Source organism: Homo sapiens, chromosome 17, assembly GCF_000001405.40.
Source record: "Homo sapiens chromosome 17, GRCh38.p14 Primary Assembly".
NCBI classification, from domain to species: domain Eukaryota; kingdom Metazoa; phylum Chordata; class Mammalia; order Primates; family Hominidae; genus Homo; species Homo sapiens.
In genome coordinates this window covers 66,955,289-66,979,671 of record NC_000017.11, presented here as the reverse complement: position 1 = coordinate 66,979,671, position 24,383 = coordinate 66,955,289, and the positions used below count along the sequence as shown (strand labels likewise).

The window sequence follows — 24,383 nt, the reverse complement described above, 5'->3', positions numbered from 1 at the left end:
GATGCTTTTCATCTAAATATCGGGTTTATATTTTTTCCTCTCTGCATCACAGAAGTTCGAAAGAAGAAGGAGATCAGATAAGTCACTCCTCATTCCCATGACCATCAGTTTAACATTTTGGTGAATTTCCTTCCAATATTTGTTCCCAGCTTGATAAAGCAGCCACTGGTACAGTCACATCTGTTTCGTACCAGATGATCTTCAAAGGTTCCACATCTGTGGGTTTTTGGCTCACTCAATTTGCCATTTAATAGAATTCTCTTCATGTTTAATAACCCTCCTAATAATCACAGAGTTAAAATAATACATTTTTATCTAGGAAATGCTTCAAGAACTCTCAAAAGACTGACTTGAACAGGAAGCAGGAGAGGGCTTGCGTGGTTTACAAAGATGGCAGACTCAAAGGGAAAAGGGGAAGAATTAATTAGAAATACAAGGAAGAAAGAAAGGAGAGAAAGAGGGACGAGAGGAAGAGAAGGCGGCACTGGGGAATGGGGAAAATGGGTTTGGGTTGCAGAGGATGCTCACACAAAAAGGAACCTCAGGTTGGCCGTGTGGGTGTGGTGACTGGGACTGTGCGAATGGCAGCAGCACAAAGAAGACTGGAGACACATCAGAAACCACCAGGGTGAGGGAAGGGGGTTGGCTGGAAGGAGGGTGCGGGGCAGGCCTGCAGCCAGCAGGGAACTCCCCCAGAGACTGAACCTCAAGGCCGCAGGCCACAAGGTAGAAGACGGGAGATCCTCCAAACGGTTGAGCAAGTGAGGACACTCTGCCCACCAGGCATCTGGCCTCCACTCACGCTCAGGAATCCGCAGGCAGAAAGACAACCAAAGCCATTTTTCATGCAAGAGGAGTTGGATATCAGGAAAAATCAGAGCCCCTTTGTATGACATGCCAAACTGCTGAAGCGAGAAAATGTCTCGGGCGAAGGCTCAGATGCGAGGCAGGGACAGCGTGCTCGCCCTGGGGAACCTGGGCCGTCAATGTGCACTTGTTATCAGGCTTTTCAGAGCTGAGGGCCGGAAGCGAGTACGGGGCATCCCTCCCCCATCGCATGTTAATGATGAGCTGGTGACATGGCCTTGGCCGGACTGTCCGGCCCCTGGAAGGGAGCCTGGGTGTCCTGAAATGTCCTCAGGGAGTCTTTGGGGATCTGTGTCCTTTTCTTGCCTGTGCTTTGGTGTGTGGGGGAGGGGTGAAGTGGGCAGGAGGAACCCTGGGAATTAAGAACCGAAGCCCCCCTTCCTCTGAGACCCATCTTCACTCTGGGTCCCCTCCCCTGTCCCCATGTACCACGTATTTTTTGGGTTAGCAGATGAGAATAACTACATGCATTGAACACATGTTATGCCAGCTCCAAAGCAAGCACTTAGATACTTTATCGCGACTCCTGCCAGCAAACTTGCATAGCAGGTATCGCTAACAACCCCATATTGCAGAGAAAGCAACTGAGGTTCAAAGGAGGTGCAATGACTGGCTTAAGGCCCCACAGCTAGTAGGAGGCAGATCCTGGATTCAAACCCTGACTCACTCTGGGATCTGGGCCCTTTATCACCATATCCTACCTCCTCTCCAAGATGCCAAGCAAAAGAGTTGCTGTTTATTTCAGGTCTATGGTGAGACAGATGTGCGGGGAGCCCTGTGCGTATTTCCCATCTGATTCTCCTGACAACCCTATGGGATAGGCCTCCTTAGGGCGTCCGGGAGGAGCCCCTAACGTCTAGGACGTGTTCTGTTGCCCTCTCCACATCGTGCCCTGTATGGTGTCTGTCCTACTGCTGGTGCCCCAGGGTCTCCAGAACCAGAGAGTAAATACCCTGGGGGCTTTCTGTGCCCACAATGCCCGGCCTGAAGCCAGGCACTCAGCAGGTGCCCCACAAACACCTAAGGACGACACAGTTTTAAGTAATTCTGCTCTCCAAGGCAGCCCCTGGCCCTGCAGGTGCGTGTGGTAGCTCTCAGAAAAAAACAAGAGAGAGGTGAGGTCTGGTTCTGCACCCAGCTCTGCTCCCTGCCCCGTGGTGCCTGGGCCACCCTCAGGGCTTCCCATGTCCAATCTCATTTAATCGTTCTGATCATCTGATGAGATGGGGGAGGGGAGGGTCTATCATTATATCCCCATTTTACAGATGAGAAAATAACTGAGGCCCAGAGAAGCTAAGGAGTCTGTCCAAGGTCACAGAGCTAACACAGGGCAGAGCAGGATTCAAATGCAGGTCTCATCGATCCCCCACCCACAACCCCCGTCCTATTGACCATCACACAGACTTAGTTCAGATGTCATCTTCGACTCCCTTCTGCGCACGAAGCTCCTGGAGAGTCAGAAAGTGGGGCGGGCTGGATCCGTGGGGCGGGCTGGATCCATGGGGCTTCAGGTATCAGGGAATGAGCCTGACTTTATCACAGAGGGATGTGTTCTCACCAGAAGGTACTGAGCTGGGGAATGATGTGATCTGGTTGATATTTTTACAAGCTCTTTCTGGCTGTGTGTGGAGAGCAGGGAGAGTGACCAGTCAGGACTCTACAGCGGGCATCCAGGCGAGAGATGACAGAGCTGGGAGTGCTCTGAGATGGAGAGAGGTGGAGGGAAGGAAGGCAGTGGGCGTGTGTCGGAGGTGGAGCCCATAGGCCTGGGGAGGGTGAAAGGAACCCCGAGGGATACTGCAGGAGAGGGACTTCTGTCTCTGCTAGGCACAGAGCAGGCTCTTGGCAGCATTTGCTGGATGGATGAACTGGTGACTGAGTGGGCTGGAGACGGAGGGGGCGGTGCTGTCCAAGCGAGACCACACTGGCGGGAAGCACAGCCGACGTGTGAGGTTACCACCAGCAGGCTCCTCCTTGCCAAGGTGTCAGAGGGAAAAGAGGCCACAGCCAACAGTGTTTCCAAGAAAAGGAGCCTGAAGTCACTGTGTCCTGTGTGGTGCCTCTGTGGGAGCACGGCCGCTGTGCTTCTCACAGCACTTTCACAAACATCCTTGGCTTGGATGTTCACAGAACCCTGGGGGTGGGGCGGGGCAGGGAGGACTCAGGGATAGAAAGAAGATGAAGGCAGGGAGGAGGGACGATGGGGAGGAGAAAGGAGGAATGGAAGATGCAGGGAGGGAGGGACCAGGAAGAAAGAATAAAGAGAGGAAGGAGGGAGGGAGGATGGAGGGAGGGAAAGAGGGAGGATGGAGAGGATAGAGGAAAGCTGGAAGGAGGGAGGGAAGTTGGAGGGAGGAGGGTGGAAGTTAGAGAGAGGGATGGAGGTGGGAAGGATGGAGGGATGGAAAGAAGTTGGAGGGAGGGGAGGATGGAGGGAGAAGGGAGGGGAGGACGACAGGAGGAAAGAGGAAAGACAGAGGGAGGAGGGAGGGGAGGACAGGTTTTATTTGCCAATTTGACAGCCGAGCAAACCGAGGCTCTAGGAGGTTGAGTGACAAGCCAAAGACTGTCCAGATGGTGAGTGGCGGAGTCAGGACCAGGCCACAGGTCCCCTGACTCCAATCCTGATGGTTTTCACTCCGGTGCCTTGTCCTCCTCTACCCTGGCCCTGGCCCTGAGACACTGGGAGGTCACCTGACGCGGCAGGGCTCTCGGCAGGTGTCGGTAAGTGACAGGGAGATGCGAGGGTCAGTCACAACCCCCACGAGCGCTGTCTCTGTTCCTGAGTATCAATCTGGGCACTCAGTTCCCACCCCTGAGGCTACTGGAAGTTCCCCAGTTCCTCTCTGCCTCCTTGGGGCCAGGCTAGGGCACTTGGCAAAGTCACTGTGCCAGAAAATGTGATGTTGGGAACACACACCTGGGTGGCTGCCATCCCCAGCCCAGCCACAGCCTGGGTGCTAGGCCCTCTTTCAGCTCCCAGCTGAGAGCCTCAGTCTCTGATTTTGCAGTTCACAGGAGCCATTCAGAACGCCCTGCCTCTGAGAGGTGAGGAAATAACACCGTGGCCTCCACTGGGGGGTGCTCAGCTTCTTCCATTCCTGGACCCTGCAGGCTGGTGAGCTGACCTGGGGCAGCTTACAAAATTTGGGCAACTTATGTCTTCTGGGAAAAATTCCATGGTTCAGGAAACATGGAAATAGAGAGAAAGCGATGATATGTTTTGAATATCTATAAGGTGCCAGGCACGAGAAGGGGTATTTTCCATGTTTTTTCTCATATAACTTCACAACCCCAGGGTTGATTCTATGATGCTCCTAACTTAACAATGAAGGAAAAATTGCTCTCTGAACAACAAAGTTCAGAGAGGTTAGGCAATTTGTCTGAAGACACACAGCTGACAAGTGGGAGTCTGGACTCAAACCCGGGGCCATGTGGCTTCAATGCTGACCGTCTGATGCTGCTGCTTCCATGTGGACTCATGGTGGGGAGGAAAGGGGGAGCTGGAATGAAGATCCAGCCCCTTCCTGTGTCCCTGGGCCCAGGAGGTGACAGATGCTAGTGGCAGGTGAGCCAGGGAGACTGATGATTTTTACTCATTTGGTTTTTCCCAGGCTCTGTCTGGAGCTGGGCTTGAGTCAAGAAACTGCCCTCTACCTTTCCACATTCTCCTTCAGAAATGGGGTGATAGCGGTGGAAGGAGGAGAGGCAGTTAAACAGCATTTCCCGACACCTCCACCTCTGTGGGCTTGCCATGGTAGCAGGCAGGCCGTGTTGGATGTGGTGACGTGGAGAGCTTGCTCTGGGTCTACAGTCCTCAGAGGCAAGTCACGGCGTCAGGGTGGGAGGGAGGGAGGGGTGCAAGAGCAGCTCCAGTTAAAGTCCAAAGCCCTTGCAAGCCCATGCACCGCAAAGCCATCTGATGCGGCGGCTTCCACGTGGACTAATGGGGGAGGAAAGGGTTTGACTCAAGCCCAACTCCAGATAGACCCTGGGAAAAGCCTGCAGAGAGCCTGGGGCCTGTGGGGGCGGAAGTGGCTGCTTTGTAAAGGCTGTGGTGCTTCACCAGAAGGGTCCCCTGTGCACATTCGGGGTTGGCAGCTCAGTCTGTCATTGTCTCCACCTCATAGGCTCACACCCAGGAGCCTCGAAGAATGCAGACACCAGGGACCACTGATTCCACCCAGAGGTACCCTAACGAGCACTCTGCGCGGGGGGCATCCATAGATATGTGCTGGGCACCTTTCCATTCACTGCCTCATTATCCCACTTTCCAGACATCAACAAGAACTCAGAGAGGTCACCTAACCTGCCCAAAGCTACACAGCTGCCTGGAAACTGGGGTTTTGAACTCTAGAGGTCCAACCCCAAAGCCTGGCCTCTTTCCCCTACCCCATGCTGCCTTTTCAACAGAGTCCATTTTAACAGAATGTCCCTCGAATAAGGGGCATCGTTTTTTCTAGGCCTCTGTTTCAGGAAGAGCTGGGCTTCTATTATGAAATATTCCCCTTTTATTGTATGCCCCCTGTGAACACACCTCTGGCCACACTCCTTTCTTTGTCCTGGCCTCCAGGAAGCTCAGCGACAAAGCTGTGGCCTGCCTCGGCCCCCAGCTGGCTTCTGCAGTCGGTACTGTGGACACTAGCTGGACGCAGCCATCATCTCTCATTTTCCTACTTGATTTTTCTATCCGCCCCAGTCCCTCATCTCTTTATTTATCTTGTCCCTTTCTTCCTTTTATGGTTGAAGGGGGAAGAAGTAAACAAACAGTAAAATCACGGGATGTCATTTTCACAGCTTTGAAAAGTTTTTCATTGGAAGAAGTTGATAATGCTAGAAAAAAAGTCCTTTGTCTGGTACCATGTCCTGCCTCGCAGTTCAGAAAAGAGAGTCTCGCGCAGCACTTCCCGGAGTCTCATGGGGATACAGAACAAGAATTGGGGGACGGGACGTTGGGGGCAGATCCAGGCAGGCCCTCCCTGGCCTCTCCCTGGAGCTTAGAACCAGTTTGTTCCCTTTTTGAAGCTGTTTCCCAGGAGACCAAGCCCATGCACCCGCTGGAGAGAGCATCCTTGTTGAGGGGAGGCTGTCATGGAGGGCAGTGCCGCTTCTCTGAGACTGTATGCAGGTTAACCGCGATGGAGGCCCGAGGCACAGACACCACGGGAGGGAGTTTCCATCGCTGTTCTGCACCTATTGCTGCCGCACGCTACGGTGGCTGTGTGTTGCCCAACCTTTGCCCAGGTACGCACCCAAGGGGAGGTTATGCTGGGACAGAGCCCCAGCCAGGCAGCCCCACAGCCACTTTCTGCTCCTGAGCCATGCCACCTTGCGTAAGTCACTCTGCCTCACCTGTCTTGAGCTTCCCTGGCTTGCACAGCATAAGAACTGGGCAGCATTGTGGTTCTCAGCTCCATGGTGGACGCCTTCTGGGCATTGTGGGTAGGGAAAGCATTACTATTAATAAAGGACTGGGGCTGGCCCCTAAAGCATATGCCAGGTCATCCCATTGATAGGATCGCTTCCCCCACTTATGTTACATGTGCTTTCGCTTTTTTTTTTTTTTTAATGGAGTCTTGCTCTATTGCCCAGGCTGGGGTGTAGTGGCGAGCTCTCAGCTCAGTGCAACCTCCGCCTCCCAGGTTTAAGCAATTCTCCTGTCTCAGGAGTAGCTGGGACTACAGGTGCCTGCCACCATTCTGGCTAACTTTTGTATTTTTAGTAGAGTTGGGGGTTTCACCATATTGGTCAGGGTGGTCTCGAACTCCTGACCTCAGGTGATCCACCCGCCTTGGCCTCCCAAAGTGCTAAGATTATAGGCGCGAGCCACTGCACCTGGCCTCTGTTTTTTTTGTTTGTTTGTTTTTGTTTTTGTTTTTGAGACAGAGTCTCACTCTGTCACCCAGGCTGGAGTGCGGTGGTGGGATCTCAGCTCACTGCAACCTCTGCCTCCCACATTCAAGCAATTCTCCTGCCTCAGCCTCCCGAGTAGCTGGAATGACAAGCATGCACCACTACGCCCGGCTAATTTTTGTATTTTTAGCGGAGACGGGGTTTCACCATGTTGGCCAGGCTGGTCTTGAACTCCTGACCTCAGGTGATCCACCTGCCTTGGCCTCCCAAAGTGCTGGGATTACAGGCGTGAGTCACCGCGCCAGGCCCCATGTGCTTTCTCGAAGGGAAGTGAAGTGACTGGAATTCCAGCTACAAAGAATCATGCCTTCCCCCTCTGCCCTTTGTCCCTGCAACCCTAAACGATGCTTCCCCTAGATTCAAGAGGTTCTCCATGGGGGCAGTTTTGTCCTCCAGGGACATATGCAAAGTCTGAGCCCATTTTTGGTTGTCACAGCTGGAGAAGGAGGAGCGCTACTGGTTCCAGTGCGGGGAGGCCAGGTATGCTGCTAAACACCTACAGCACAGAGGACAGCTCCTGTGACAGAGGATCCGGCCCCAGTGTCAGCAGTGCTACAGGTGAGAAACCCTGCCCTGCTCCGAGGGGCAGCCGATGCTGAACCCATAACCCCTGGTGCTCCTGAGTTATGCTCTATGGAACTGTCCAGCACTACTTTAGGCTGTGGGGTGTCAGGCAGTAGTGTCAGAATCTGGCACCCCCATGGGCATACCTTTAGCTTTCTTTCCCACAACTGTTCCTTCTTCTGTCTTTCCCTACTTGGCCATGGTGCTGTCGCCTGGCCGGCTGCTGTGGCCCCAAATCTGGGAGGTCACCCTTCATTCCTCATCCCCTTCTCCGGGCCATCCCTCCACTTCTCCCATCTCTGCTGCTGCCACGTAGCCCCAGGTCTCCAGTCTGCCACAATGTCCAGATGGGTCTCCTGGTAGCCTCCCCTGCCTCCTGATATCTCCATCTCCAAATGCAGTCAGAAGGTCTGCTAAAAACATAAACCAGATCACCGTACTTCCTTGCCCGAAGTTCTGCAATAGCACCGATCTCATGTGAAATAAAGCAGGCTTCTGACCCTGACCTCAGAGCCTCCCCAGCCCAACCCCTGACCTCTTCCTTGCTCCCTCTCCTCCATCCTCACCAGGTTCCCTCCTGCTCGGGGCCTCGGCTCGCCCTTTCCTCCTCCTAGAAGGTTTTCCCTCCAGGTCCTTTTTCTGGTTCAGGTTTTGGCTTAAACATGACCTTCCCTGACAATTTCCTGTCCCCTTGACCAGCCAACAGCGGCCCCCTCCAGCCGCTCCCCACACGCCCCCTGCTCTGTTTTCACCGTAACATAAATCTGCACCTAGAAGTGCCAACTGCCTCATACATAGGAGTATCAATTCCAGGACAGCAGGGACCTGTCTGTCCTTTCTGCAGCTGTGACCCTGAGCCCTGCATGTCTAATACAGACCAGGTGTTCAGTGAGCCTGTGCTGGAAGAATGAATGAGGGAACAGCAGCACACCCAGCAGGCGGGTGACTTGTAGCCCGTGTGTGTGTCTCAGCAGCAAAAGGGTCAAAAGTCACTGAACTAAGTAAGCTCCACAAGGCTCTTCTGGCTGGAAACCCCTCCTCAAGGCTCTTCTGGCTGGAAACCCCTCCTCAAGGCTCTTCTGGCTGGAAACCCCTCCTCCAGCAAGGACCCTCCATGAGGCCACACCGACCCACCGTCAGCGTGGAAGCTATGGGCAGAGGCTTTCCGGGGTTTGTATGACAGAGAGTGAGAGGTGGGAGGAGTGTTCCAGAACAGTCAGGCCCCATTTTCAGATGAGGAGACAGAGGCCCACCAGGCCCCCTCCCCTGCACATTGCTGTTCCAGTTTAGCTGTGGCTTCCTCGCCTCTGACACTCAGGGTCTGGTGACCTGAGGCCCCTTCCTACTCGGCACTTCTGTCACTATGTCCTGGAAATCCTCAGAGTCTGGGCTGTTGGTGGAGACTGACACAGGGGATTTATTTTAAAGATCTGCTGATTTTCCTACTGAGACTTTTTGAAGGGCCTCTTCCTGAATGATTGGAGAGTAAGCACCAGCTGTGAAGCAGACACAGGGCGAGAACATGTCTGTGATGGACACATGTCTGTGTGCCCCCAAAATACATATGATGAAGACATAATCCTCTGTGTAAACAATGCTATTTGGAGACAGGGCCTCTGGGAAGTGATTAGGTTTAGATGAGGTTGTGAGGGTCATGATCAGACCAATGCCCTTGTAAGAAAGGACCAAAAAACTGGTGCCCTCTCTCTCCACCATGTGAGCATTTTAATAGAATGATCTGGCCCCAATGTCAGCAGTGCAAAGGCTGAGAAACCCTGCCCTGGTGTGAGGGGCAGCTGATGCTACACCCATAACCCTTGGTGCTCCTGAGTTATGCCCTGTGGAACTTGCATGAAGAAGCCGGCCATCTGCAAGCCAGGAAGAGGGACCTCACCAGGAACTGAGTCCAGCGACACCTTAATCTTGGACTTCCCAGCCTCCAGAACTATGAGAAGTTCACATCTGTGATCTAAACCACCCAGTCTATCATATTTTATGACGTCAGCCCAAGCTGACTCCAACAACCCCCTTACCTGCCCCTTCCAAATCTGCATGGTTCCAATATAAAGGATTTCCCCTGACTAGTGGACAGAAGAGCTCCTATGTTCCACCTTGGCCGTGATCCGGGGAGTGAGATGCAATACTCAGGAGCTGTGCACGTCTTAAGCCTCATTTTCTACAACTATAAAAGGCAAATAATTAATATCTACCTTGAGGTGTTGCTGGCAATTACATGCACGAATGTGAGTCCTGCATGAAGGTCTTCCATAGTGATGGCTGTGATAATTAGCACCCAAGGGCGAAGGGGGTCCAGGGTGAGGATTCTGGCCGGTGGTACTTAGCGCGTCAGGGAAGGGGTGCCTGTTCTGACGCTGTCACTCACCTGGGCCTGACTGGACAGGCTGCCTCTGGGTTATTTCAAGAGAAAATGAAAGCAAACACAGATAAGAAAAGTTTCAAGCCCAGCACCAGGCCTGGAGTGGGTGGAGAAAGGCTATTATTTGATGAAACCTCTCTGAATGGTCCTATGTAGGGAGTGTGGTTTAAGACAGAGCCATGTAGCTGACCCACCAGGAAGGAGTTTCAGGAAACTCTTTGGAAAAAGCCTCCCACCTGTGGGCACCTGGGCGGGGCTCGGGGCAGCTGGGGCCCCTTGGGAGACATCCATGGCTGTCTTCTCAATCCCCTCCCCAGGGTGCAGGGCTAATGCTTCCTCTTCCTCAGTGTGCCATGGTGGGAAGAAAGGTTGGGTACACTGGTGTGCAAGATGCTGCCCAGGTGAGACACGTGAACATGACTGGGGCAAAGAACTCCTTCACTCTCAGGTTCCAGAACCTTCTCCATAACTTCCCCCACTAGTACCCAGCACAGAGCTGGCACAAAACAGGTGCGGGGGCCACCCCTGGCATCAAGTCTGCTATATTAAGGCCCTGGCAGAGCTGTGGGCATGCTGGAGGCAGCTTTCTCCATCAGGTTGGGGGAGGGGCACGGCTGAGGCGCCAGGACCCTTCTCTTTGGGTGGAGAGCTTTCCTGATGGCAGCACGGGGACTGGGTGGCTCTAGTGAGTTCTCTAGAGTTGGTGTGGGTGGCAGGGCTTTGGCATGTGGCACAAGCTGCTGCCCTCTGGGCCCAGAGTCTCCTCTTCCCTTCCACGTCTACACGGGCTCTTCTGTCCCTGGCAAGAGTACATGTTCCGTGATGTTTGCTTACATTCTGTACCCACTGAATTCCAGAATGCATGAGATTGAACAAATGTTGGTTGGTGATGCCTTTGATAAACCTTGAAGAAAGGTTTACTACCCCTTTCCTATGTCCTCAGGCTTGGCTGGGTGTCACCAAAGATACAAAGAATGAGGTGAGTGTCTCAGAAGGCAGGGAGATGACTGACTGTGGTGACCAGTCTAGCACACAGTGGAAGGAGAGAAAAAAGAGAAAGAGATAGAGATAGTGACACAGAGAGACTGAGAAACAGATTGGGAGAGAGACATAGACAAAGACTGAAAGAGAAAGAGGAAAAGGGAGGAAAGAAAAGGAGAGAAGAGAGGAATGGAGAAGAGAGGAAGGGAAGGGAGGAGGAGGGAAGGGGAGGGGAGGAGAGGAAGGAGAGAAGGAGGGAAGGTGAGGGGAGGAGAGGAGGGAGAGGAGGAGGGGAGGGGAGAGGAGGGAGAGGAGGAGGGGAGGGGAGAGGAGGGAGAGGAGGAGGGGAGGGGAGAGGAGGGAGAGGAGGAGGGGAGGGGAGAGGAGGGAGAGGAGGAGGGAAGGGGAGAGGAGGGAGAGGAGGAGGGGAGGGGAGAGGAGGCAGAGGAGGAGGGTAGGGGAGAGGAGGGAGAGGAGGAGGGGAGGGAAGGTGAGGGAAGGGGAGGGAAAGAAGAAGAGAGGGGAGGAGGGGAGAAGAGAGGAGAGGAGGAGAAAAAGGGAGAAGGGAAAAGAAGGGAAGGGAAGAGAAAAGAAGGGAAAAGGTGTGTTACGCAATTTATGTATCCGTTGTGCATCCTCACTTCTAATGCCTTCATGCTGCCGCCAGCCCAACCTCAGAGCTGGGCTCCACTGGGTAGTCAAGTACTTGGTCTATTTTTAATGGCAACCCAGAAGCTGTTTGGGAAAAGGCAGGATGATCTGGTGAGAAGAGCTTTGTAGTGAGACAAAGGCTCCAATCTGGCCCGGCTGCCTCCTACCTGGGCGCCTCTGGGCAAGTCCCTGAACCTCTCTGCACCTCCCTGGCTCATCTGCAGATGGGGGTGAAGACAGCGTCCTCCCAGGGCTGTCATGGGCAGGCCACGCGGTAATGTGCACAAGGCTCTGCACACTTGAGTATTTTGGACACTTTCCAGCAGAGGGGCAGGCAGAAGGGAGAGACTTTGATTTGAGGGGTAGAAAGAGGCTAAGACAAGGTCAGCCCTGTGAAGCTGGGAGCAACAGTCTTTTGCACGTAGCCCTGCCAGAATGCATGGATACCTTAAGCACACAGAGGGCTGGGCTTCCTGGCCCGGCAACATCATTTATAAGACACGAACATGCAACTGAATCTGTTGTTTGCCAGTTGCCAGCAAACCCTTCAGAGTTCTGCCTTTATCCTCGGAGTCTTATTAGCTGCCTGCTGCAGTGTTTCTTTAGTTTCAGCCCAGAGGTTTGATTTTTTCATTTTCTTCTGTTCATTTTGCTTTGGAGGTAATGCTTTGGAATACTTTTCTAGAGAACAGGTGGAAACAATGCATCTTATACATGAAAGCCAACACGGAGGTAACCCTCCCTCCGTGTCCCCAGAAAGTGGCCTAGGGTTAAGGTGCTGTCCAGGCCTCAGCTCTGGCTACTTGCTGGCAGGTGGAGGCATCGTAGGAGGTGAGGTGTCAGGTGGTTGAGAGCTGTTGGTCTAGGGATGTGCTTTTTATGAGAAAAGCTGTCAGTTCCCACCCAGGTTGAGGGACTGTCACAATGATTCTAGCCAAGGAATCTTGAACCCACTCTCCCAGCCCTGGGTCCCACAAGGATGTTCTGGCCCTCAGAACCACTGAGCATTGGGGAATAACACAGGCAGCCCAGTTCTTTCGGTGAGGTCCCCCAGATGGCTCCCTCTGCTAGTGGAGCCAGCTGCCCAGATCAGCTTGGGGCTCTCTTGATGAACACCGAAGTGCAAATGGCTCGAGGCAGCTGGCAAGATGCTAAGTGCAGCATTAATCCTAATTAGCATGAGGAATTAATAAAGGAAGCCAGGTTTGCTGGCGGGGAGGAGTTAGTTTCAGAATTTCCACTGGGAAACTGGAAGGCCCTGGGTCCACACATGCCTTCGGGTCGTGCCAGTAGCATGACTTATGACTTACTGTGCCAGGCAGTTGGCACCTGATGGAACTTGCTTGTGAGGTGGAATATGGGGCATTGCAGCCCCTGCTCTGTATCCAGCTCAGGTGCTGTGGCAGGTAGTGACGTGGGTACATTCTCCAGAGGAGAGGAGTAGGTGTTCGTGATCTGAGCAATTGCACACTAAAAATGATGTTTTTCAAAAGAAAAGAGGAGGGTGTGATCATGAGCCCACTGGCTCTTTTGTGTGGCTGTGTTTCTCGAACTACTGATTGCACATTTCTGTTACCTGCAGACTCCACTCAGCCCTGCCATTAGGCTCCAAATTGCAAAGGGCAAAGCAGCCTCTTTTGGGAGTGGGGGTGGGAGACAGAGGTGGGCAGGATCCCCGATGAGATGAGAACAAGCATGGTCTGGAGGGGAAAAGGGGGCCAAGTTGACTTCACTAAGCAGATCCAGCTTCACAAAGCCTCTTTTCAGATGACTTCAAATGCGGCCAGAAAAGGGCTATGGTTTTAAGAGCTCCTTGCCAACCTCCACCAAGAAACAACCGCGGCTGAACTCTGTGCAGGGGTTGGAACTGCAGTAAGGAAGGCTAGGTGTGTGGGAGAACTTCCCGAACAACCGAGGGGCGGAGTTAACACGCGGGGAAAGGTTACCGAAAAAGAAGGAATTCTGTCCAAGGGTTTTTGAAAAATCAAAGGAAAGCCCCCACCAACTCCCTCCACCCGGTCCCCGATCTGAGCGCCACGCTTAAGCAGCAAACCTGTGCCCAACCTTGCTGGGACCAGGTGGCCCCTCCCCAGCCACCTGTTAGTTCAAGTTCCGCAGCCGGGCAGAAGGGCGCCCGGAAGGCGCCGAAGCCGAGCGCATTTTGGCGTTGGAGGCATCCAGGCCCCTCCCCAGTAGGGAGCTGTCCCCACGGTCCCGGGGCTGAAATCCTGGTCCCCTAGCATTCCAGCCTCATGACACCTACTACTCAGCCTCCAGTCGCATTTGGGGGTCGCAGCGCCCAGCTCCGACGAGATGACCACGCCCCTCCCAGTCTGTTCCCGGTCCGCAGATCGGTCCTGCACACCCTAGTTTCCTACTGAGGTCTCCGCAGCCTCCCTGCTGAGGGGCCGCGACCGAGGTCGCTGTCTCCGTTGGGGGAGACTCGGTGTCGCTCCCCTTACCACCCCACCGCACAGCGAGGAGCGGGCCGGTGACTCCGTGGGAGACGAGGCGGGCGTCGGGCTGGGCCTACCCAGCTACCCTAGATCCGCTAGGAACTCAGCCCCTACCCCGGCTCCGACCGCGCCCCCGCCCCTACTTCTGCCCCTACTTCTGCCCCCACCCCTCAGCCCGAGCCTGTAGAAAGCGCCCAGCGGCACCGACGCGCCCCGCCCCCGGCCGGCCCCGCCCCAGGATGGCCAGTTCCCATAGCAATAGCACAGACACCGGTTGCCAAGCAACCCCTCCCCCCCTCCCGTCCGCTCCCCCCAACCCCAGCCTCCTCCCGCCCCCTCGCCAGCCTCCACCTCCCCCGGGGGTGCCGGCGCGGCCCCTGGGGATCGCTCGGGTCCCGGGCTACGCGCGCGTGCTTGAGTTTCGGTGTGTTTCATTGTGTCTGTGGGCGAGGGGGTGTGCGCGTGGAGAGTTTGTGGGATCGGTGTGCTGGGGAGGTCCCCAGCCGAGAGGGACCAGAGCTGATGTACAGCTGGCCGCGAAGGGACCCGCCCGCCAGCTCCGGCTCCTTTGTGTCTCGCGCGGAGCCAGCGCCGCGCCCACCCTCTCCCCGGCCCGCGCGCCGGGCAGTGTGTGCGCGTGTGTGTGTGTGCGCGCGCGCGCGCGCGCGTGTGTATATGTGTGTGTGTGTGTGTGTGTGTGTGGGGCGGCGAGGGGTCGGGGCTGGCCGTACCTTCGATGCAGCACACCCGCCACAGACCAGAGTGGGTGAGGTCGCCGCGGGCGCGGCGGGGCGGGGGCCCGTCGTCCATGGTCAGGTTGGTGCCGTTGCAGATGTGCGCGCTGGAGTACAGCCAGTAGTCGGTGCCGATGGCGATGGCCATGAGCGAGAAGGCGGCGAAGGCTCCGGCCGTGGTCAGCAGCATCTGCAGCCCGCGGTCGCATCGCACCATGGTGGGCGCCTCATAGTCCGCCGCCCGCCGGCCCGGCCCGCCGCGCCCGCCCGCCCTCCTCCCTCCGCGCGCCGCTCCGGGGGCGCCGGGGTTGGGGGGCCGAGGGCCGGGGGGCGGCGCCGCGCTGCGCGCTCCGACCCCGCGCCCCGGGCGTGCCTGCGCTCCGGCAGCGCTGGGGCTCAAACTCCGAGGCGCGGCGACGAGTGCGGGCTGCGCGGCCGCCGGGCGGGCTGGCGGCGGCGGCCGGGGGCTCCTCCCTCTCCGCTCGCCCTCCCCCCTCGGCCCGCGCCTCCGCCCTGCGCCCTCCGCGCCTCCCCCGCCGCCGCCGCGCTCCGGGTCCGCGCCCCGTTTCTCTCGGCGCCGCCCCTCGAGCCTCGGCCCCCGCCCGGCTGTGCGCTCCTCTGAGCTCCCCTCTCTCCCCAGCCAGGATTTTCTCCCCCTCGCCTCCCTTCCCCTCGCCTCCCCTCCCCTCCCTTCCCCTCCCCTCCCCGCGCCCGCGCGCGCTCTCTCTCTCTCCCAGAGTTCATTCACATTATTGGAGTGAAGGAAGCCGAGGGAAGTGTTCCCCAGGAGGACCGAAGGGAAAGCGCGTCTCCAGCCACCTCTCTTACCCGCCCAGGACATCCAGCCTCCCCTCCGACGGCCCTGCGGATTCTTTAATTTGTGGAGGAGGGCGTGGGTGGGTGTGTCCCTCCTTTCCCCTCTGTGCCTGTTCACCTGGTGATGAAGGTGAGTGTGGGAGTGCGTGTTCAGGTCAGAATTCCTGAAACCCCAGATGTGGGACACAGCTGCCAGACCCTGCAAGCCACGCCAGGCCCGGGCCAGGCCCCACCCCAACCCAGGTGGTTCCTGCTCCTCCAGATCCCCTTGCAGGGCCTGGAAGGACCCTGACTTGGGGTTGAGGGAGAAGGGCGATGACAGCGAGAAGTCCTTTGGGGAGAACACAGGGTCTCTGCTTTCTAGAGTGGTGGCAAGGCTGAGATTGAAGATGGGGCGTTCCTCTGTGCTCACATTTCTGAGGGTCTATTACTGCTAGAGTCCAGGGACACTCCAGTTGTGTTAGATTCCAACACTCCACCCGCCAGCCTTTTCCCTTTCTCTCCCAACCTTTCGCAATGCCTTTATTTCGTTTTGCCTTTTGCTCTGCTCGAGCTTAACCGGCTTTCCCTCCCCTGGCCTTTATTGTCAGCCTCTGACCCCAACCCCTGCTGGCTTCACTTAATTGCCTTTGCTGCTGGCCGTGATCCCAACCTGGACACACTCCCTTCTCCAGGGAGCCGGTCCGGACTCCTCCTTCCAGACCCAGCTCCAAACCCCTCCCTCCAGGAGGTTCTCAGAGCCCAGCATCAGGAGGTGCAGCACCCTTTGACATGTCCAGGTGGTCCTGTTGTTGGCATCCCTGGCTGCACTGGACCCCAGGATATGGAAAAAGGTATAGGGAGTGCTGCTATTCTTGCAAGACGAAGCTTAACTTTCTTTGTGGCACCTTCCCTGGTCCCCACTCCCCGTGTTGAAATCACTGTTCTCTGTCCCACAAGATTGTGAGCCTTTCCTGTGACTGGCATACATGGTAAGGGCTTAGCAAATGTTTGCTGAGTGAGAGTTGTTTCTTGCCACTTGGAAAATTATAGTCTGATTGGGAGGAATAGATCATATACATAAAGGGAAAAAACAAACATCACAAGGTGACAGAGCCTGAGGACCAGGCTGGCTGTGACAGTGATTGTTGGCCCCTTCTGCCCTTGGGGTGTCTATTCTGCTTTCCAAGTCACAAAGGACGAGGGTCATCATCTCTAATTTACTTTAACCCACCTGCCACCGGATCTGGAGTTCTGCACCCAGCAGGTGCCCAATGTATGTCTAAGTGGACCAGAAGGTGTGAGATGGTTTGCTCTGACCCAGAACAGGGTTACCCACCTCCAACCCTAACAGCCACTAGGATTAAGTCTAGGTTCTGTTCTCAGAAACTCCAGGAAAATGAATCCCAAGTTCTTCTCTCCTCCTCCTCCTCCTCCCCTCCTCCTCCTCCTCTTCCTCTTCATCTTCCTCCATCTCTTCTTCTTCTTCTTCCTCTTCTAACAAATCATTGTTTCAAATTAAATCATAAATGGAAGCGCAATGTAAACAAACCAGGTCTCCTACCAATTAGCCTTGTAGGTAAGGGCTGGCATGGCTCTGGTTGAATGAGGGGCCCAGGGCACTGGTACTCACCCACCCACACACGCACTGCAGCCCCCAAAGCACCTCTCTAGACCCCGGGTTCCACAAAGCATGGTGTGAAAATCCATATCCTGAGCCAGCCACTGGGTTACTCAGGAACATCCCCCTCCACCCTGTCCTACTTGCAGCCTTCCTCAGGGACTTTGGGAGAAACAAATGAATGTAAGTTGCATGAACCTGATCTTCGGGGGTGGAGAGCAGCAGCTTCCCCCAATCACCTATTAGATGGCAGAGATGACAGGTGGTGGGTCCCTCCTCCAAGCAAGCAGTCCTCATGTTCATCCCAAGGGAGACAAAACCAAAATCTTCCTTCATCAGAACCTTGGTAGACCAGCTCTCACTCCTCCACTTGCAGAAAAGTGTGTGGGAGAGTTGAGAATGCACTGGACCAGAAGCCAAGTCAGTCACCACCTCATGCTGGCTCCGGGACTAATTAGCAAGGTGATCTGGATGAGCCGAAACCACCTGGGAAAAGGATACCTCTCTAGTGCAACTTGCCGAGTTTTTCAAGGGTTGGTTGGGCACGGTGGCTCACGTCTGTAATCCCAGCACTTTGGGAGGCCAAGGCAGGGGGATCACTTGAGGTCAGGAGTTCCAGACCAGCCTGGCCAACATGGTGGAACCCCGTCTCTACTAAAAAAAAAATTAGCTGGACGTGGTGGTGCTCACTTGTAATCCCAGCTACTCGGGAGGCTGAGGCAGGAGATTTGCTTGAACTCGGGAGGCGGAGGTTTCAGTGAGCCAACGTCATGCCACTGCACTCCAGTCTGGGTGATAGAGTGAGACTCTGTCTCAAAAAAAAAAAAAAAAAAGTTGTTTCAAGGGTCAAAAAAAAGCAACCTTGGGCCGGGCGTGGTGGTTCATGGCTGTAATCCCAGCACTTTGGGAGGCTGAGGCAGGCAGATCACGAGGTCAGGAGATCGAGACCATTGTGGCCAACATGGTGAAATCCTGTCTCTACTAAAAATACAAAAATTAGCTGGGCGTGGTGGCACACGCCTGTATTCCCAGCCACTCCGCAGGCTGAGGCAGGAGAATCACTTGAACCCAGGAGGTGGAGGTTGCAGTGTGCCGAGATCACGCCACTGCACTCCAGCCTGGCGACAGAGTGAGACTGTCTCAAAAAAAAAAAAAAAGCCCCTTTTCGTGTGGTGTACGCTTAGCCACCGTTTGTGGACTGGGCAGTAAATTCTGGCTTTTCTGCCTTTTTTTAGAGACAGTAAGCCCAACACTGTCTAGGAAGCATATATTACATCCACTTTAAAAAATTTGTTGTGGTTTTTTTTTTTGAGATGGAGTCTCACTCTGTCACCCAGGCTGGAGTGCAGTGGCACGATTTTGGCTCACTGCAACCTGTACCTCCTGGGTTCAAGCAATCCTCCTGCCTCAGCTTCTTGAGTAGCCAGGACCACAGGTGTGTGCCACCATGCCGGGCTAACTTTTGTATTTTTAGTAGAGACGGGGTTTTGCCATGCTGTCCAGGCTGGTTTCGAACTCCTGGCCTCAAATGATCCACCTGCCTCAGACTCCCAAAGTGCTGGGATTACAGGTGTGAGCCACCGTGCCCGGCCTACATTCACTGTTAATTCTCACTTATCACCCCCTGACAACACCAGAGGAATCTGAGGTGCAGAGACCTGAGTAACTTGCCCCAGGTTTCACACCTGGAGGATGGTGGGGTCAGATCTTAGCTCAAATCTCAGTGACTTCAAGGCCAGAGTTTTTCCAAGGACGCTAAACAGCCTCTTTGCCATTGTTAAGTACTGCTGGGCTGTGTCATTATTATTACCTATTAATTCAGGGGGACCCCAACGGGAGCTCCGCAGTTTGCCTTTCTGTTTGCGGACACCCACTGGCAGCTGCACTTGGTCCTGCGGTGATGAGGGTGTAGACTGTGGAGTCGCATAAGGACTTGACCGCCGGCACAGGGAGCTGGAGCAAACCCAAGACTGGCTGAGACCATTCATCATGCCTGGGTGAGCACAATTTAAATCTGGAAATTTCTGCTCAGCCAGATTACAGAACTCTAAATGACAGTATTTAACTGCTGCCTGAGGACCCTGGAGTTTCTCCCATGTGACGCTTCCAGAATCAAGGGAGGGATGTGCTCTCCTCTTGCCTAGGAGGAGGTCCTGGACTGGTCTTGTTCTGGAGAGACTGGACACTTGGCATCCTCTCCCACCATGAACTGCCCCCCACCGCCCATATAAATGTTACTGCTGGGGGTGTGAACAAGTAAACGTGTATTATTACCTCCCTTGCCAGCTGAGGAGGTGGCGATATTTGCCAGTCACTTGGACCAGTCTCCCAAACTATCTTTTTCCACCCGTGGTGGTGTCTTTCCTCCTTACTGAATCATTTAGGTAATTACCTCAATTCTTCACTTTACTTTGGCTGTGAAGACAGAGTCTTAATGAGCCCAGAGCCCTGGACAATCCCAGCTCCAGGGTGAGGCAGCCGGGTGGCGGCTGTGGGAGGGGAAGACGGTATTAGGATGCTCACATTGCATAACCTGCACGTCCAAGTGGCCAAGCTGGCTGCCATCTGCAGCCCGGGCGAGAAGACGGGAGAGGCCCTCCACCAGCCAGGGGAACGCAGTCGCTTTCTGCAGTAGCTCCCAAAGCCTTTAGGAAAAGCTTTGTTTTACCCCTTTGTCCTCCAGAAATAATGACCTTTGTGTGTCAACTTTTGTAGTATCTCATTTCTGAACCCAAAGCAGATGGTTCTGGTGATTTCAGAAGGCTTAGTGAGGGGATTTGAGGAGCCTGGGTGAGATCTCAGGTGAACTGACACAAAGCATGATTTCTAGTTTCTATAGCCAAGGCTTGGGGATGAGGCTCAGAAGATTCCGGGGCTCGGCTCGGTGTGGAGGCTTATCTGCAACCCATCCAGCCTGCTCAGCCTTTAAGAAGAATGCCTGGAAATCCGGGTCCTACCAGCCTCCCCTCCATCAGATTATGCACGCTGCAAGGATGACTTTCTTTTTTTTTTTTTTTTTTTTGCTTCAGTATTTCAGTAGACTCCTTTGAGGGAGATCAGAAAATGCTACATGGCTTTATGTATTCAAGTTTATTCCGTTTCATTTGCTTATCACGGATATCCTATTCAAGGTGATGGAAGCTGGATACACAGCATTTTTTTTTCCAGCTCAGCTGCGATAAAACAGTGGCACACTCACCATCTCCATGCCAGGCCAGGACCTAGAAATGCAGAGAGAAGGGAGATAGCATTTCGTGAGTGTCCTCTGGGTGCCAGTCATTGAGTCTCTCCTTTCAGTTATCCATCACAACAACCACATAAAGAGGACACTTTTATCCCCATTGTGTAAGTGGTGAACTCGCAGCTAAACAGAGAGCAAGTGGCTGAACCAGGATTTGAACCCAGCTCTGCCTGGAGCACAGCTGGGCTCCATCTGCTACTACACTGCACCCCACTCCCTAAAGGGCACAGAGGCCTCTTTGCCCGTCTCTTCCTCCCCTGCTCCTCCTCACATATTTATCCAGATGAAATCAAGTTCAAATGATGATCAAAGTCACATGAGGGGCCAGGTGTGGTGACTCACGCCTGTAATCCCAGCACTTTGGAAAGCCGAGGTAGGTGGCTTACTTGAGGTCAGGAGTTCAAGACCAGCTTGGCCAACATGGTGAAACCCCCTATCTACTACAAATACAAAAAAGTTAACCAGGTATGGTTAGGTGAGGGGGAGGGAGGCGCCTGTAATCCCAGCTACTCAGGAGGCTGAGGCAGGAGAATCACTTGAACCCAGGAGGTGGAGGTTGCAGTGAGCCGAGATCACACCACTGCACTCCAGCCTGGGCAACAGAGCGGGACTCCATCTAAAAATAATAATAATAATAATAAAATTCACATGAGGGTGGAGAGGTTAGGAAACAGCTGTGCTTTTTAAGCTGTTGGCAGTGGGTCTGGAGTTTGGGGTTTGGAGAAGGCTCCCCATTTCCTGGGCAGATAGGAGTGAGCTGGGCTGATGGCAGGCAGGTTCTAGAAGCTACCAGCCTTGGGAGCCCACCCTTCTCTTCCTCCCTCCTGGCTATTACCCCCAGCACCTGCCCTAATGCTGGCCAGAGTGGAGGGCGGAGGGCCAGCCCCTGACCCAGGTACCCAGTGGCCCCTCTGAGATGCCTCTGGCCTCTGGCTGCTACCCTCTCCTGGGCATTTTCCATTTACTGTGATGGCAGAAAAACCCAGTACCCTTAAACAGTAAACAACACAGTGAACTGTGAGTGAAGTCCGTGTGGGCTTAGCCAGACCTGTGTGTTTGCAAACCGGATCCCAGTATGGACTGTGCCCTGCAGGCGGCCTCTCTTGCTAGAATCTGTTCTGGAACTAGCCCGGTTGATGAGCATGTTGATATTAACGGCCTGGCTTGGCCAAAGCTTCCGGCCCAGCACGCTTTAGCATCAGCTGGTTATTCTGAGAACATTCTTTTCAAAACACTCTACAGGACAAACAGGCCGAGAGGTTCCTTTGTCCACAGCTGGCCTCTGAAACTGAGCAGACTCTCAAAGGGTTGAGAAGAACCCCGAGGAGGCTATCGTCTGCACTCAGAGGCTGAAACGTTTGAAAACAGGTGCGGGAGGGGGCGGGGAGGATGGTCAGTGACAGCACATTCTTCAGCAAACATGTGTCATTTGTGCTTTTACCAGAGCGGAGCTTTTAATTCCTAAAATATAACAGCCTGGTGCAGGGGCTGGAAGAAGAGGGCGCGTTTTATGTGCAACTCTGCTAAGGGCTTGGTTGCTGAATGAAAGGTTTGGTTCCATGGAGGTTCAGGTACCTTCGCCTTCAGAACCACACCTTCCTTTTCATCTCCAGCCTCCCTGGGCTCTCACCTGGCTGCTAGGGGGTCGGGGGTGGGTTGGTCTCAGCCCTCCTGGAGCTCTGCTTGCTACTGGGTGGGAAGGCTTGCTCTATACTGCAGACATCTTTCTGGATTGAGGCTATCAATTGACTCCCTGCCCTCTGCCTCCTATGTCCGTGATTCCTGCTTGTCACAGAAGAGCTGCTGGGTCTTCGTTGCTTTTATCTCCAAAGCCTTTTGATGAGGTAGAAAGGAAAGGTCATCAGATTCAGGCTGACCTGCGTTTCCACTTCTGCGTTGTCATTTGCAGCTGTGTGGCCTAGGACTAGTGGCTGAACCTCTCTGGGCCCCAGTAAGACGGGAAACCAAACACTGGCCTCATTGCGTTGGTTATCATGCAGAGTCAGTAAGCCCAGGGAAAACATTCACACAAAAATGCTAATAGCTGATGGTTACTGAGCTCTTTGTGTGTATCATGCTCTATTCGACGTGCTTGGCCATACATTAACTTATTTGATTTTTTCCAAAATACTTTGAGATAGATACTGTTATCGACCTCATTTTACCAAAAGGTAACGAAGGCATGGAGAAGGTAAATTGCTTGCCAAGCGTTGCCTGATTTTAAACCTCTGCGATCTGTATACAGAACCTGTGCTTATAATTTTGATTTAAATACTTACTAAATAAACAATAACTTTTATTATGTTGCTCGTTAATACTCCCTGACAACTAAGTTGAAGCTACTGCTTATCCTCAACTGCCAACAACCACTGATGTCACTGGACTCCAGCACCCTTCGTAATACAGACCCATTAATTTATCTAATCCAGAAATACTGTTGTTGTTTTTTTTCCCCTTTTAGCAGAGCCCTCCCTATTGGTTCATATTGTCTCCTTGGAACCTATGTGGGTCTTCTTGGGGATGAAGACATTATTGAAATTTTTGCTGGTTGGGCACGGTGGCTCACGCCTGTAATCCCAACACTTTGGGAGGCCGAGGCGGGTGGATCACCTGAGGTCAGGAGTTCGAGACCAGCCTCGAATTATTATAAAATAATTCCAACACGCTGAAACCCTGTCTACTAAAAATACAAAAAATTAGAAAAAATTAGCCGGGCGCGGTGGCAGGCGCCTGTAGTCCCAGCTACTCGGGAGGCTGAGGCAGGAGAATGGCGTGAACCCGGGAAGCGGAGCTTGCAGTGAGCCGAGATTGCGCCACTGCAGTCCGCAGTCCGGCCTGGGCGACAGAGCGAGACTCCGTCTCAAAAAAAAAAAAAAAAATACAAAAAAAATAGCCCAGCGTGGTGGCAGGCACCTGTAGTCTCAGCTACTTGGGTGGCTGAGGCAGGAGAGTCGCTTGAACCTGGGAGGTAGAGGTTGCAGTGAGCGGAGATCGCACCATTGCACTCCAGCATGGGCAACAAGAGTGAAACTCCATCTCAAAAAAAAAAAAAAGAAAAGAAATCGTTGCTGTCAGTTGCCAAAACTCTCTTCAAATTCTTTTCTTGTCCAGGAAGTGGCGGCAAAGTGTGGTATACAAAAAGGGCTATGGCAAGCAACTCAACTCTTCCAGGCCCACTCATCCCAGCAATCCATTGGCAGAGTGGCACCTGCTTTGGTAGAGCTGCCATGAGATTTGAAGAAGACATTGGTGCCCTGCTGACCCAGGCAAGATGGTCTGGCATCAGCAGATGTCACCAGGAGATGTACATAACACAAAATAAGAAATCGAATTTACTCATGAGTGAGCAATGCTTCTGGGGCCTTGGGGGCCTCTTCAAGTGGTCTGCAGGATCACTGGGGTGTCTGCCCAGAAGCACTTGCTCCCTGCATGACTGTGGTGGGCCTCAGGGCTTCCCCATGCCACCCTGGCCCACCCAGGGCGGTGCCAAGCAGAGTGAGTTTTCAAACACTCGCATCTGGCTCTACTCTCAGCTGAATCTGATAGCAGACCATTTCCAGATAAACAGGATGGGAGACACATTGGCTTCCTAGAGGAGATACTTTAAATGCTCTAGATCCTTTAAAAATTCAAGGAGAGGAAGGGCGCGGTGGCTCACGCCTGTAATCCCAGCACTTCGGGAGGCCGAGGAGGGCGGATCACAAGGTCAGGAGATCGAGACCATCCTGGGTAACACAGTGAAACCCCGTCTCTACTAAAAATACAAAAAATTAGCCGGGCGTGGTGGCAGGCGCCTGTAGCTCCAGCTACTTGGGAGGCTGAGGCAGGAGAATGGCGTGAACCCGGGAGGCGGAGCTTGCAGTGAGCTGAGATTGCATCACTGCACTCCAGCCTGGGCGACAGAGCGAGACTCCATCTCAAAAATAAAATAAATTAAAATAAAATGAAACAAAATAAAATTCAAGGAGAGATATTCTTTTTTTTTTTTGAGACGGAGTCTAACTCTGTCACCCAGGCTGGAGTGCAGTGGCGCAATCTCAGCTTACTTAAACCTCCGCCTCCCAGGTTCAAGTGATTCTCCTGCCTCTGCATCCCAGGTAGCTGGGATTACAGGCATGCACCACCATGCCCGGTTAATTTTTGAATTTTTAGTAGAGACAGGGTTTCACCGTGTTGGCCAGGC

General features: G+C 53.9%; 1 protein-coding gene across 1 annotated transcript in view, besides 6 other annotated features; it reads right to left on the bottom strand.

The window, feature by feature from the left end:
- The window catches only part of CACNG4 (calcium voltage-gated channel auxiliary subunit gamma 4), a 68,692-nt gene extending 53,727 nt beyond the window's left edge, over nt 1-14,965 (bottom strand). Inside the window, exon 1 of the mRNA NM_014405.4 lies at nt 14,541-14,965. Coding sequence (NP_055220.1) covers nt 14,541-14,760 — 220 coding nt within the window. The 5' untranslated portion in view covers nt 14,761-14,965. The remainder of the gene's footprint in view (nt 1-14,540) is intronic.
- Nucleotides 386-962: an enhancer, noted in NCBI's record as "H3K27ac-H3K4me1 hESC enhancer chr17:64974826-64975402 (GRCh37/hg19 assembly coordinates)". NCBI's record gives its function as "activates a minimal SCP1, AML or CMV promoter by ChIP-STARR-seq in naive H9 embryonic stem cells {active_cell/tissue: H9 hESC(naive)}" and the evidence as "EXISTENCE:reporter gene assay evidence [ECO:0000049][PMID:30033119]".
- Nucleotides 386-1,540: a biological region, named in NCBI's record as "H3K27ac-H3K4me1 hESC enhancers GRCh37_chr17:64974248-64974825 and GRCh37_chr17:64974826-64975402".
- Nucleotides 885-1,179: an enhancer, noted in NCBI's record as "tiled region #13644; HepG2 Activating non-DNase unmatched - State 20:ReprD, and K562 Activating DNase matched - State 20:ReprD". NCBI's record gives its function as "activates a minimal TATA promoter and a strong SV40 promoter by Sharpr-MPRA in HepG2 and K562 cells {active_cell/tissue: HepG2 | K562}" and the evidence as "EXISTENCE:reporter gene assay evidence [ECO:0000049][PMID:27701403]".
- Nucleotides 963-1,540: an enhancer, noted in NCBI's record as "H3K27ac-H3K4me1 hESC enhancer chr17:64974248-64974825 (GRCh37/hg19 assembly coordinates)". NCBI's record gives its function as "activates a minimal SCP1, AML or CMV promoter by ChIP-STARR-seq in naive H9 embryonic stem cells {active_cell/tissue: H9 hESC(naive)}" and the evidence as "EXISTENCE:reporter gene assay evidence [ECO:0000049][PMID:30033119]".
- Nucleotides 2,285-3,238: an enhancer, noted in NCBI's record as "H3K4me1 hESC enhancer chr17:64972550-64973503 (GRCh37/hg19 assembly coordinates)". NCBI's record gives its function as "activates a minimal SCP1, AML or CMV promoter by ChIP-STARR-seq in primed H9 embryonic stem cells {active_cell/tissue: H9 hESC(primed)}" and the evidence as "EXISTENCE:reporter gene assay evidence [ECO:0000049][PMID:30033119]".
- Nucleotides 3,239-4,193: an enhancer, noted in NCBI's record as "H3K4me1 hESC enhancer chr17:64971595-64972549 (GRCh37/hg19 assembly coordinates)". NCBI's record gives its function as "activates a minimal SCP1, AML or CMV promoter by ChIP-STARR-seq in naive H9 embryonic stem cells {active_cell/tissue: H9 hESC(naive)}" and the evidence as "EXISTENCE:reporter gene assay evidence [ECO:0000049][PMID:30033119]".
- Nucleotides 14,966-24,383: the final 9,418 nt, after the last annotated feature.